Source organism: Homo sapiens, chromosome 9 (genome assembly GCF_000001405.40).
Source record: "Homo sapiens chromosome 9, GRCh38.p14 Primary Assembly".
NCBI lineage: Eukaryota > Metazoa > Chordata > Mammalia > Primates > Hominidae > Homo > Homo sapiens.
This window is the reverse complement of record NC_000009.12, coordinates 126400037-126414965: the sequence shown is the minus strand read 5'-3', so window position 1 is coordinate 126414965 and position 14929 is coordinate 126400037. Positions and strand designations below refer to the sequence as shown.

At 46.3% G+C, this 14929-nt stretch overlaps 1 protein-coding gene and 1 long non-coding RNA gene across 8 annotated transcripts in view; one reads left to right on the top strand and one right to left on the bottom strand.

Moving 5' to 3' along the window:
• The window catches only part of MVB12B (multivesicular body subunit 12B), a 180212-nt gene that overhangs the window by 92075 nt on the left and 73208 nt on the right, over positions 1-14929 (bottom strand). The window lies entirely within an intron of this gene.
• Positions 4462-7191, top strand: NRON (non-coding repressor of NFAT). The gene has a single exon (NR_045006.1). It is a non-coding gene; the product is annotated as a non-coding repressor of NFAT (long non-coding RNA).

Genomic DNA, 14929 nt, shown 5'->3' with positions numbered 1-14929 from the left:
TTGAACCCAGGAGTTTGAGACCAGCCTGGGCATCATGGTGAAACCCCATCTCTACCAAAAAACAAACAAACAAACAAACAAAAATTAGCCAGTTTTATAATCCAGTCTCAAAATAAATAAATAGATAAAAATTAAAAAAAAAAACCTGAGAGGTCCACGAGAATGATGGTGGCTGGTGCACTTATGGACAGCAGTTTCAGTGGAGTCATTTTAGTGGGCCCGAAGTTGACCACTCTGTAGGCAGATCCATGAGTTTAGATTTTAGGAGAGTTCATAAAGCTCCCCAGCAGACTGAGGAGAAGGAGACTCAAAGGCTCGAGAAACTGTCTCTACTTAGGATAGTGCCAGGAGGTGAAGGCCTTCTGGCACCTTCCCCAGTAGGTCTTGGACCCCTGGAGCAAGGGCTGTCCATCAGAGGACAACCATGTCTGCCACTTGACTCAAATGATGGATTATTATTCCAAAATCTGTTTGGTCACTGGAGAATTGTAACTGGAACAGTCCCTAAATCCTCGGGGAGTGTTACCAAGCTATCCTCCCCTTCCCCCTGCCCACGGAACTGCCCGGAGGAGACAGGGCTCTCACCCTGCTGCTTCTGGTGGCCATCACGTCTCTCTGCAGGAGGGATTGGCTGTTCTGTAACAAACAGGTCAGCAAGCACGCACTGCCAGCGATGACGGCTCCAGCTAAATACATGCTGAGGGGAATTTCATTTTTTCCCCCAAGTCAGTCTTAGGCACCTTATTCAATTAACATGGCCACTAAGCTGCAGACAGCTCCATATAAAAGCCCTTCAGTTATAGAATATATTTTATTATGAGACAATAGTTGCCAGCACGATTTATTTCCTTTGATGGGATTCTGCTTTTTCCTTGTTAATTTAAATCTGTATTTTCTAGTGCTGATTCCAGGTCTGTGTGAATTTTTAAAATGTTACCATTAATCTTGTAGACCCAGTGGCCACATATAATGAAGATGGTTCTGCCCAGGCAGCTGCAGTGCCTGCTGTCCTCCCAGACTGTCAAAGGGCAGCGTCGAGAGAGTGGTGACTAGCAAGGCAGAGGCGCACTCATAGTCAGAGGCACCTGCCACTTTGATCTCCCAACCCTTATACACACACACACACACACACACACACACACACACAACCAATGGGGTTCACAGGATTCCAGAAAATGCAATGAAAAGAGGATACATCCTGGCAAATACTGATGGTGACTTCAGACTTTTCCTCTGCCATACTAAATGCTGGAAGACGACGCAGCCAGTTTTGAAGGTGAAAATAGTTGTGATTCAGCAATTTTGTATGACTTCAAGTTGTCTTTTGTGCAGGAAGACAACAGAAGATTACTCATGTCACCTTCTCTAGGAGAAACACTTAATAATACATTCCAGATGATTCAAATTTAATACTTAAGAAAGGGGAAGTAATGCGACAAAAGGACCAGCATTTATTCTTCCCTTTTTGAGATTTGAGGAAAGAACCTGAAATGTGGGAAATGACCTATTTAAGAAAATTTAAAAATATCATCAGTTGACTTGTTTACAGCGTGTACCTGTCATATGCATCTTATGATCCCTAACCCAATCCTACGGCGAGTTGCTGAGACCCCCCCTACTCCACAGGTGTCTCAGAGAGGCTCCACAGCTTGCCTCTCTGCTGGATACAGCTTGGACTTGAACACAGAGTATGCAGAAGCTTGGATTTGAATGCTGATGGGGCCAATTACACAATTCATGCTCTTAATTATGACGGTCTACTCAAAAACTGGAAATAATGTTACTATGTCTGACTCAGAATATTATGCAGACATAAAATGATGTTTACAGGCTTTGTGGAGAGGGTTGGAGTGAGATGCTCGGGATCTGTGTATGGAATATGATCTCAGCTGTGGAAGGAAAGGACAGGAACCAGGGCCTTGGGGCAGCATTTGTCATGGCAATGAACTGGGAGCAGCCCAATGACCATCAATAAGAGGAGGCTAATAAAATGTGGAATTTTCATATAATACTAAAGTAGGACAGAACGAATAGATGAAGAGAGCCAGAGATTTTTCTGTAGAAATGCCCAACTCCCAAAGACTGGCTGTTAAGTAAAACAAAACCAAAAAACCAGCCAAGCAAAAACAAAGTTGCAGAATGATGTATTATAAACAATCCCATAAGACAATCTTTTTTCCATGGGCACACACGGCTAAGCTACAGTACAGCAAAGGGCTGGAGGGAGTAACTTAGAGGTGACTGAGGGGCAGGAGAGGCTCACGGTATTGACGACAGAAGCCTCTAAGATGGGAGTGTGGATTCTCCCCACTGCTCTTCCATATGTTTTAAGTGTTAATTTTTTTGGATGAGAAATTATTTCTTTTAATCAGAAAAAAAGATGGCAAAAACTAGGGGAACACTTCTCAATGTGGTTGGGAGAGTAGAAGAGACACACGTATGAAAGCATCCAGCGTGGTGGTGCTTGGTGCTGAAGGGACACCTTGTTTTCTATATAATGTGTCTGCTGGTGGACAAAGACCAGAGGTCATGTACAAAGGAGAGGAATGGATTGTGGGGGCAGCAGAAGAAATATGAAAAGCAACAAAAATCAAGTTAAGATAGGAAGGGGAAGAAGAACACAGCAAATGGCTAAATGAAATTCCACATTATTCCTGCAAACACCACTGGGAAGAAGTCATCTGTGACGCACAGCTTCTGTGCCAGGTGTAAGGACGTGCTTAATGAATGCCATTTAATGAAGAAAAAGGCTCTTATAAAACACCTGGCACAAGCAGGGTGCGGGAGTCACAGAGAAGGGGACCTTTGCTGCACCTGCTGGCATTTTAATAAGCACCTTCTAGAGCGCCCGCTCTCCAAGGCTGGTCAATGGTGTCAGAAAGAGGTCCCTGACCATTGCCCACACTTGCTGACAGTTTGGGGAACCTTATTTCTTAAAGACCATATGCTCAGGTATCGGATCACCCTGGAAGGTAATTAAAATGAATCATTTTCAGCTGGAAGGGCCTGACTAACACTCGAATCCTCCTCAATGACTTCACAGCCAGGATTCCTGCTCCAAGTCCCCTGTGTTTCCCAAGTGAGGCTCTGAATTACGATTGAGATCTGTGAAGACCCAGAGATGTGAGGAGATATTGTAATTCTTTCTTGTAACTTGTTTCCGCTAAAACAGAAAGTCAGTTATTTTAATCACTCTAGGCTCTAAAATATTTTCAGTTGTGGTTTTCTTTTCATATTGATTTTGGAGCCAACCTCAGGGAGAAACCACCATGCGCAAAGTTTACTATCATTTGTCACGGTCTGATGAGTCTCTTTTTTGTTTCGTTTTGTAATTGACACAAGCCAAGACAAGTAAGGTTTTGTAAAACTTAAAAGAGACCTATTTCCTCTACAGTTATATTCACTATCTTATAAACCTTCTATGCCCAGACCTAAAACTTAATTCCAAGTATTACCCAGTGAACACAGGCCCATGCCAGGGGAGCTGGACCAGTATCAACAGGCACACAAGGCCGCTATAATTAGGATGTGGCGACTGACTCAGCGCACTTTTTTTATTGTGCTCCTACTGTGTGCTAGGCACTGCCTGGCACCGAGACAGTTTAAGAAACCAAATGAAACGTGTATCTTCCCCTTTAGGAATTTATCCATAAGTCAACTGAAACACGAACATAAATCTCCTATATCACAAAGTAAAAGCTCTGAATATCAAAAGATAGGCCATAAAGGACAATATGGTTATATGCTTCAATTTTAAAACAGTGGCATGAAAAAGAAATAACTGGGTGTGGTGGCTCATGCCTGTAATCACAGCACTTTGGGAGGCCAAGGCGGGTGGATCACGAGGTCAGGAGTTCAAGACCAGCCTGAACAACATGGTGAAACCCCGTTTCTACTAAAAAATATAAAAATTAGCCGGGCGTGGTGGCGTGTGCCTGTAATCCCAGCTACTCAGGAGGCTGAGGCAGGAGAATTGCTTGAACCTGGGAGGTGGAGGCTGCAGTAAGCAGAGATCACGCCATTGCACTCCAGCCTGGGTGACAGAGTAAGACTCCATCTCAAAAAAAAAAAAAAAAAGAAATAACCAAAATAACAAACATCTGTTGAGAGTCTACTACAGGCCAGGCACTCTGTTAGGCCCTGGGAGGTATCCAGGGACATGGGAGCCATGGTCCCACCTGCAAAAAGAAAAGACTGTGGCTGGGGAGAAGAGGCCCGAGCAATGAAATAGTAATTCAAGAGTCTAGACAGTGGCCCAAGAGATGTCACAAAGCCAAGGATGGGCAACGGAGGCTCCGGGAGTCAGAGAGGTAGGAAATGGGATTTGACTTGCATGGCTGGGAGGGGCTTTCCAGGGAGGCCCGCGTGAAGGCTTTGTTCCTGGAATTTTCACTCCTGTAATTATTTAGGACTATGGCAGTTACTACTCACTGGGCACTTGCACCATTCCTCATGTTCATACACATCTCTAATGTAAACAACCCAGCAAGGGAAGTAGTACCCTATATGTGGGGGAAAAGTGGTTCAGAGAGGTTAAGTAACTCACCCAAAGTCACACAGCTGAAGAAAATGGCTGGGCTAGGATGTGCGTTCATGCTCTTTCCACCATGCCATGTTGCTTTACTGAGATGACACAGGGCACAAAGTAAGTGCAAACACAGACCTGTTCATTTTCCATTCAGGAAGCCCATTTGCCACGACCAATGCAACTCCAACCTACCAGGCTGACTGTAGAATGGGTTTTCCTCATGGGCAACACATACACACATGCATGCATGCGCGTGCATGCGTGCACACACACACACACACACACACACACACACAAAACCAAATCACTGTGCATTGGACAAGGGGAAAAAAAAGCTGCCACTGGAAGATGAAGGAAATCACAATTCCAAACTCCCCAAGTTCCTAAATGCATAAAGTACGTGCAGCTTGACGGCATATGGCAAATCAATTACTAGTTTAAATCTTAAAACAAAAACATGGCAAGTGTGGTGCAGAAATAATCAAGAACAACGGTTAGGTTTAGATTACAGTGGGCCACTAGAGTTTTGAATACAATTAATCATCATTCCAGGCAATGGGAAGCCATATTGACACTTATTCCTAATTTGAATATTTAATTAGGGTGAAGTTCTTCATCAAATTATCGCAGAACTGGGAGAAAGCCTGGAAGACTTACACAATTACTATCTTAACCCCTTCCCAGCTGCTCACCTGTGAACACAGCCATTCTAGTCCCAGCTCCGCAGGGGAGGTTGCCTGTGCCCAGTCTCTGATGCTGTGGGGTGCTGGAGGGGTGCTGGTGACTGGAGTTGCAACTGCAGCAGGCGGGAGCCACGTGGTGGCAAAGGAAAGGTCTAAGGGGATGCCCTGCTCATGCTTAGGCTAAGTTCTGCATTGAACCCTGGACACAGACAGAAAGCCAGCATGCATGGGTGCTCACTGGGCACCAGGGTGGTGCTTTCTGTGTCCCCCCCCAATTTAATTCTCATGACAAATCCTGCAAAGGAGGCATTTCTATCCCCATTTCACAGAGGAAGAAACAGGCTCAGAGAGTGATAAAACTCACTCAAAGTAACACCGCCTGTGAGTGGTGTAAAGAAGGCCCAAGGGACACACACACACACACACACACACACACACACACACACACACACACAGAGTTACTCACCAAAAGTGATGACAAAGAGAACACGCAAAGGCCCACAAAAATGTTTTCAAGGCTGTATTTTGGATCATCTGCACCGTGTGGCTAAATCAAAGGAAAACCAAAACCCAGGCCTCTTCAATCAGCATTCTAAAATTTAACTCTTGGGTTCAAAATGCATTACTGAGCCCCCCCCCACAATGGAAGTCACGATGCCGTTGTGGCCAGGGGCTCAGCAGAATGGTGGAGGTGGGGGCAGCAAAGCTCAAGGAACAGTCCCACAAGGCCGATTTGAGGCAAGGTGACAAGGTGGCCATCCAAACCCCGCAGAGTAGGACTCGAGAAGGTGGGCGCTGCGGGACAGGTGTCCTTGGGGAGGGGAATGTTTGCAACAGGACAAAAAAATGTGAACTCTTTCTTCTTTCAAGATGGCCAAGGCTCAATGATAGCATTTAGAACTATACATCAGCTTGGTGATTACGTTCCTTAATGTACGCCTTTGCTATCTGAAAAGACTTTTACTAACATTTCATAGATACTATGTGATTCTACGTGACCAAAAACAACACATTTTGCCACATAATCTCCCCGAAGGACTCAGGACACGGCCAAGGGCTGAGTGCACACATGGGACTGGACCACGGTAGGTCCAGAGACCTTTCTGCTTCCAGCCTCCACCGAGAAGCCGAAAAGGAGGGACATCCTGATAGTTTCAGGTTAGCCATCTCTCCTTAAAAGCCTGTGACGGGTTCACTTACCCTCTTGTGGAAAAGGCTCCATTTGCAGTGGCCACTTTCAGCAGGAAGTGGATCGCCAGGCAGAAGGAGGGAGCCGCCCCAGCCCCCTGCCTGGGCCCACTGCAGGCACAGACCCCGGATCCGGATCCATCAGGCCTGCGTGGGGGGAGCGAATGGCATCGGGAACTTTGAAACTTTCCTTTGTATATTACATTAATCCATATAAGAAAATCTCTTTTAATGAGGAGTGATGTAGTTACAAACTCTCCAGAGCCATAATTAGAGCAAACTAATTGAAGTTGTGTTTTGACACACTTTCCAAATTCACGGGTGCCGGATGACATATTCACAACACTGCTGCCGCACAACCATGGCGACGGCAAAATCATTAGGCTAATAACGCTTATTTGCATTCTTATCATGCCGGCAGCTCGCCCTTAAATACTGTTTCCACTACTGCTCCTTTACTGTAAGTTTCCACCGAAAGATATTAACAGTAATTATTAGTACTTTAGTGGAATTTTAATGTTAAAGAATAACAATGTGCATTAACATACATTGAATGGCAATTCTTTTTCTTAACCACCCATCGGAAGGTTTGGGGGTTCTTCCTTGGCCCTCTCCCCAGAGCTCAAGGGTAACCAGATGCGATTTCAGCTTCATTTACAATTCAGGGTCCACACCCAGTGGGATCTGAAGTCAGGTTTCTGAACCATTCTGCTCCAAAAGTTTGATGAGAAAAATCTTTCTTTCTTTTTTTTAAGTACAATAAAATGAAATAGTTAAGGAGAAATTTTTTCCTAGCAGTTAAAAAAAATCTCAATTTACAACACGGTCTTTGGTAATAACGCTAATGAATTCCAGGAGGACATGCCGTAGCCATTCCCTGTCGCCCCCCTCGCGGTGATTAAAGGCAGACGGGGAAGAACTGGGTTGTGAGGGCGTCGGTGGGGGTGGGGTAGTCTCAATCTGTCAGTGTGGGGGCACTGCTTGCCACCAACAAGGCCAATTTTGGGGATGCTTAACTCAGACACTCACAGAGAGGAAGACTCGACAGTTCTAAATAATGGTTATTAATGACGCCCTCCTCTAAAGTGACAAATTACTTCTGAAATTTAGAATTGAAGAAGTATGAAGAGTGAACGTGTCCTATTGAACGTGACAGGAAATGCCGGCCAGCACACAGAGCTCCCACTCGTTGTGTGCTGGGAGAAGGCCAGGGTCCCTCCTGCTTTGGGCTTTTGGCTGTTGTACAAGGCAGTGACCACAGCTACCTCTCCCTGACGTGTCTCCCAGCAGTTACTGTTGGTGACTACGGGCACATCCTGGCCGTAAAAACGCTTTTTGGGTGAAAGGCATAAAACATTAGGTGTGCTGTACCAATAAGTGAGACCTAGTCCCAACTTGGGGTTGGGCTAGATATTTGCTCAGATCCTAGGCTTCTGTAAATACCCTGGGGTCAAGCAAAACCACCACTACATCACTGACCACTGATAACCCAAGAGAAAATGTCTTCACTAAAAATATACACTTGTGTTGAATTTCAAACTATTCAAGTGTACATTTCAGGATGAATGCTTAATCTCAGCCTAGGAAGATTTAAATGAGTGAAGAAAATGCTTCCGCAGAAAAATATCAAAGCCTATACTCCTTTAAAGCATGGGAGTTTTCAGTTTCTTAAGTTACAATCCTTATACCAATCTGCTATTTTTCAAGTCACTGATTACTTAATAAAAAAAAAAAGATGAAGAAAGGAAACTAACTTTCATAGCCACAGCAACACTCCAAATCATGGTATTTATTCACTACATTTAAGTTTTATTACACTTGAACCTTGCAATGCCAAAACACCGACCTCCCATATAAAAGAAATGAAGAAAAAAGCCAAGTCTGGGACCAGGGGCACCACACTTCCATTCCAGATGATCTAGTCTAATCTTATAAACTGAAATATTTAAAGAGTCTCTAAACCTCGCTGACCTTACTTTTAAAAACAAGGAACATATGGGCACTGCTAGCTTTTCATCTTCTTCCAGCCTACTAAAACATCCGCTTTTCGAAAATTCAAGAGTCGGGGGACTGCCAAAGTCAGATTCATAAAGGACTGTGTGCGTGAGAGCGCAGGGCAAGCTGCAGTCTGGACTGAATGCAGCACATCCTCTATCAAAGAGCCAAAGGCAACACTTGTCTCCTCCCTGCCCAATCCATCTCAAAAGCTGTGGAAAACAATTTGTTTAACAAAATACAGCCATGACTGAAGAGGAGGTGGAATGTGGGCTACAGGCTGGACGGTGATTTTTGGTCCCATGCAAGGTCGAGCTCACAGCAGAGGGTCAGCGTTCCATCAGGAAGCCCTGAGGCTCCTTGAAGGCAGGCAGGGCATTATGGTGAGACCTCTCCTCTGCTCACAGCCCCTCTAAATCCTAACTCTCTGCCCTTGGATGAATCATGATCTCTCCAAGCTTCAGTCTTCTCAACACGCCAGCCTGGGTGACAGAGCAAGACTTCGTCTCAAAAAAAAAAACCCCCCACAAAACCAAAACAAAATAAAATGAGGACACAATTATTCACCTCACAACATGGTTATAAAGATTAAAACTACATATATATCTATCTCTGTGTGTGTAGGTGTGTACATATATATATAACGTTTACACAATGCCTGGCACAAGAAGCCCAGAAAATTACAGCTGAAATAATAATGATGATAATAATAATTGTATTTATTCTAATAATAATAATTATTAATATTATTATTCAACTGGAAACAAAACATCTGCTGCTCATGAAGGATATTCAGATTGAATTCTACCCTACCCACTGGCAAAAACTGAACCCAAATAAACTCAAAAGGCCTTTTAAAAGTAACTGCAAGCAAAGGATTTTATTAAATATCCCAATTAATAATTGAAACTCTGCATCGAAATAGAGCAGCATAGTTGGGGCGGGGGGTAGGGGGTGGTAGTAAAATCCTGGGAAATATCGCTGGTTTAACGCCCATTTTTACTTTATTTGGCAGCTAGATTTACACTGAGAGACCCAGGTGAAACATTCCACAGAGCTACCTGCAAATAGACTGTCAGCTTCCACTCTGATAAAAGGTAAAATATCCTTCTCTAAATGGTCTGGTTCACAAAACCGACCCTAAAGTGAACTGATAAATCTGTTCTGACACACAGAAAACTATTTTCATAATCCTGAAAAAAGCCTTTCTCAAAACCCTGGCGCTGAAACCAACTGCACAAAGAGCCCTCGTGCACTCGCGAGCTGGACTCAGAAGGGAATAATTTCCCATTTCTAACCCTGCTTCTCGGGACGATAACAACAAAAAAGCAAACATAACCACCATGACCACTGAGAAAAATAAGACACTCAGAAATTCACCAAAATTACAAAGATAACACATTTACAAGCAGCAAATACCTTGTCAAAAATCTGACATGAGACTGCGAACGCCAAGGCCAGCTCCGAAGCGGGAGCTGAACTGACGAATCGTCAATTCTTCATTAAATAGAAGCTCTGACTTCCCAAGAAGCTGTATTAAAAATTAATATCAAAAAGTGTATTGCTCAGCCTAAACTCATCATTCATATCTAACAATACCGAACTGCATTCTAATGAAATTTCCCCTTCAAAATTACTCTGACACCAAAACTAAGTTTGATACGGGTCCAAGAGCGGCCGCCGCTCTGTTCACGAGCATTTTGAAGATATTCAAATAACCTCGCTCTGTAGGTCTCTTTCATGCCACTCTCACGATCACCAGAATCAACCACACTGCTCGTAACCCTGCTTAAACGCCCGCTTCAAAGCGAGGGAGGGATGGTGGTGCTGGGACCTCCTGGGCTGGCCTCCACATGTTCCCTCAGTCGGCGACCACAGTGCAAGTGTGCTGGACACCGGCCAAAGTTCACACGTCTCCCTAAGACCGCTTAGGCGGTTTCTGACCAGAGGGGCCTCTGTGGGATGAGTTCCCCACCCACACGCCCTGGGAAGTCCTCATTCACCAGTTGCTGGTCAGGAGCCTGGAGAAGCTGCACAGGAAGATGGCGGGGCCACCTGAATGGGCACCCCACCTACCCACCAGCCCTTCCAGGCACATGCTTGGCTCCCTGATGAGAGGCTTCACGGCTGGGGGCCTCGTGACAGTCTGCACACTAACAGTAGCTTGCCTGCTTGGGTGCAGATCCTAGCCCTGACACTTGCTAACTGTATGACCTTGGGCAAGGGATTTAACCTCCTCACCCTCAGTTTCCTCAACTTAAACCTGGGCTGATAATAGTAACTGACTCACAGAGCTATTATTAGAATTAAACGAGTTGGCCGGGTGTGGTGGCTCACGCCTGTAGTCCTAGCACTTTGGGAGGTCGAGGCAGGCGGATCACTTGAGGTCAGGAGTTCGAGACCAGCCTGGCCAATATGGTGAAACCCCATCTCTACTAAAAATACAAAAAATTAGCTAGGCGTGGTGGCACATGTTTGTAGTCCCAGCTACTTGGGAGGCTGAGGTGGGAGAACTGCTTGAACCCAGGAGGCAGAGGTTGCAGTGAGCCGAGATAGCAGCACTGCACTCCAGCCTGGGCGACAGTGAGACTCTGTCTCAAAAAAAAAAAAAAAAAAAAAAAGATTTAAAGGAGTTATTTGTAAAGCCTTTGAACAGTACCTCACACCTAATAAATGCATGATAAGTCTCTGCTGGATGGATGGACGGATGGAAGGGCGATGCATAAAATATGATGTCCAGTCCTATGTATTAAACTAACTCATTTTCTGCATCCAATAAATACTTTCTGGGTGCCTAACACATGTCAGCCACCTGGAATTCAGAGTTCTTTACCATCTTGGGGCCACACATTTTCCACTGAGCACTTACTGTGAGCATGGAATGAGATGACATGGTTGAAAGTACTTGCTCAAATTTGATGAACGGTGATGCAATATGATCATCATTGCTATTTCTGTGTGACTAGCCTCTTTTGAGGCTTTAAAGGAGAAAAAGGAAAACATGAGGATCTCTGTCATCAGTAAGCAGCAAATCTAGTCAGTAAGATCAAACAGAAATACACGCAGCAATGACAGGGAACTGTGAGATGCCAGGCTGTATGACGCAGGCAACTGGAGGAGAAGAAGGAAAACGACGCAGGCCAGGCTTTCTAGCAGTGATGTGGGCTACTATAGGCCTGGGGTGGGGCTGGCCAGGGCCAATCCTAAGCATTCTGGAGTCCAGCCTAACTCTTCCAGGAGGGAAGGGGCTGGTACAAACTGAGGTGCATGGTGAAGGCCAGAGCAGAGATGCTTTTGGAATAAGAATGGTGTGCCCCGGAGCCAAGAGGAGACTCACCTAATTAATGTAAGAGGATGTGTGGGGGGCGGTCGGATAACAGGAAGCCAGTGAAGTTCTCGATTGAGGAAAAAGGAACATATGTGTGTCTGAAAACCCCAGTGCAGTTATCAGGTCACCACAGACTTTAAGGTTACAGGCAAAGAATGTAAATGCAGGCTATTTACAGAAACAATACCTGAGCCCCAGAAGCCCACCCCAGATCCATCTTTGATTTAGTGTTCAGGTTCGACCCCTCCAGAGGGCTCGTCTCTGAGACAGGGCTGGCTGCTGGTCCTTTCGGCTGGAAGGTGCCACTTGCGCAGCGGGATCATTCACACCCCCGTGCTGACGTCCGTGCTCCTTGTGTAAAGAACCCTGCGCTACAGTCTTCATCTTAAAAGACAATGAAAATGTATGTTCTGTCTTTAGAGGTAAAACAAACAAAAAGCATGTGTGGCTTTAGTGTGAAGGAAGAGGAAATCTAATTTTTCCAAGTGAAGCCAGACCCATAGTTATGCCTGGACATGACCTGCAGAAGTGTCTGAAGGCCCCCAAGCCAGAAAACCAGGGCCCAAGCCCTCGTCTTCTTCTTCCATTTTTTTTTTAAGATAGGGTCTTGCACTGTCGCCCAGGCTGGAATGCAATGGAGGAATCATGATCACAGCTCACTGCAGCCTTGATTTCCGGGCTCAAGTGATCCTCTCACTCAGCCTCCTGAGTAGCTAGGACCACAGGCTTGTGCCACCACACCCAGCTAATTTTTGTATTTGATTTTTTTGTAGAGACGGGGTTTTGCCATGTTGCACAGACTTGTTTTGAACTCCTGAACTCAAGTGATCCTCCCGTCTCAGCCTCCCAAAGTGCTAGGATTACAGGCATGAGCCACCACACCCAGCGCCCCAAGCCCTCTTTTGATGGGACCAGGACAGAGTGCTCCATTGCTTAGCTCACCTGCCCCCAAACCATTTCTTGCCACTATGGAAGTGGAGCTCAAAATCCATGTCACAATTTATTACTAGGGGACAAAAAGAGTCATTGGAATCACCTGGGATACACAGAACCCCTCTCATAAATGATGCACCTTACATGAAACCACAGATTTCAACTCCAATCCTCTGCACTGAGCCTTCCCCTACTGAACCCTAGGGAGAAACTTCTCACAGGCAAATGCCTCCAGCACCAAGCCTTTTGCCACTCTGAACAGGTAGGTAAACACCTCAACAGGAAAAGGAAAACTCAGCCTCCCTGATCTGTGGGATTCTGGGCCTTTCGTTCAAGTCCTGCAACAACAGGACAGGTGACATGTCATCTGGGGTACAAGGGCCATCTTACAATTGAAAACGGACAGAAGGCAGCCGAAGGATTTGAGGCTGTCAGTGTGGACAACAAGGCTCCAGCCAGTGACCTAAGGCTCCGCCCCAACTGCTGACTTACTCTGCGAGTTAATCAGAAAGTAATGGAGTTGATCCCCATGTCCAGAGGGAAGGCGGGGTTGGAGAGGCCAGGACGGAGCGTGGCACGCTCATGGGCTTCTGACAATGATGTGATGGGGGACAAGCCTGGGCAGCACGGCCTGAATTCTAGATCACCACGGCATGATTTTTCCTCTCCTCTAGGAAGGGCCATTAACCTTTCCGATGACAGCCCTGGGATCAGAGTGATGGAACGATTTTTGAGGTCAGCAAGGATCTATGTTCTCAAAACCTGACATCGACATGCAAAAGTTGTGACTGAATCCTGGTGTCCCTGAGAGGAAGACTAAATGCATGTGACAGATCTTCTGCAATCAAAATGCCCCATTTCCCAGAGTATCTGTCACAGATTGATAACATCCATGCAAAAAGTTAAGTACAATTATGTCTGTCACTAAGAAACATACTTCCGAACCTGTGACTGACAACTTGCTGGGAGCTGACAAATTACAGGAAGATGACTGCAATAGCGAGCAACACGTCACCTCCTACGGGCAACCCAGGCCTGGCTGACACTCCAAGAGGCTCCTGGGAGCTGCATCTTGCAGGGGAGGCTGCCGGTCAGAACTCAATGGCTGGGAAATGCTCTGTGACTTCGGGTGGGAAAATAACCCTTTCCCCCAAGAGAGACAGTGTTAGGGAAAGGTCACAGGATGTGCCCATGGCCTGGGGTCTGTGGGGAGGAGAGTTTGGGCAGCAGCTTCTCCCTCAGGACCATGGTGAGGACAGCCCAGGTCAGCAGGAAGGGTGGGGTGAGGCTACTGGAACCACACATTGCAGATTTTCTAGGAGAGCCCCCGCAGGATGGATGTTCACATAAACATGAGATGTCCCGAAAATCCTAGCCAGCTGGAGGCCAGACTACATGTTTCTGACAGACTCTGAAAGGGACAGAATACCACCCATCGTCAGCTCATGCCTGCCTACCCTGGACGGAGACACGGTGTCCGCATCACCAAGGGAGGGCCCCGGACGTTGTGGGAGGCCCCTCTGAGCCTTCCCTCTCAGGGAGGCTGCACAGCAGCAACTCTCCACTATCCATACCTCCTCCTCTGACCTCGGCACTGGTGAGTGGAGGAAGGCAATGGCTGCAAGTCAGATACAGAAGCAGCATCGACGACGGCTTGAGGACCTCTGAAACCAAGGCCCACTGCTCTGTGCCCTCCCTGCCCACTGCAGGGCCCTGAAGTTCTCTGGACAAGGTGTCTGTGACCCTAACACGTAGTTCTGCCGAACCTGAATTTCTGTAGGTGGGGAGAGGGAATATGACAAGTTCCTTAAATACGGCTTAAGAAACACTGATTGCTCTAGTTCTCCTGCAGTCTGAAGGATCCAAATGCCGTCTGACCACCCCTAGCATCTGGGAGCGCATCACCCCTCAGGTCAGCTTCTTGATGCCACAGAATTTTCACCTTGGGGAAGCTGTCTTTACTGATTTTTTTAAAGTGTTAAGCCTAAATCTATCTCCTTGTAACTTCAGTCCACCTGACCTAATTCTGCCTTCTGGAGCCCCCAGCCATCTCTCCACCCCTCCATCCCCACCTGGAAACACTTCTACTTTCTCTCCTGCCATTGACCCTTAAGACATCTGCAGCAGGCTGGCCTGTCTCTACTCAGCTCCAAACTGGATTCCTCAAACTTGACACTGGATTTGGGTAACCTCTGCCTGGTGGTGTGAGGCAGTGCACACGCCCCAGGAGCAGGACTCCACTCAGGGCCTCCCGCTGTGCACACCAGGCTGTAC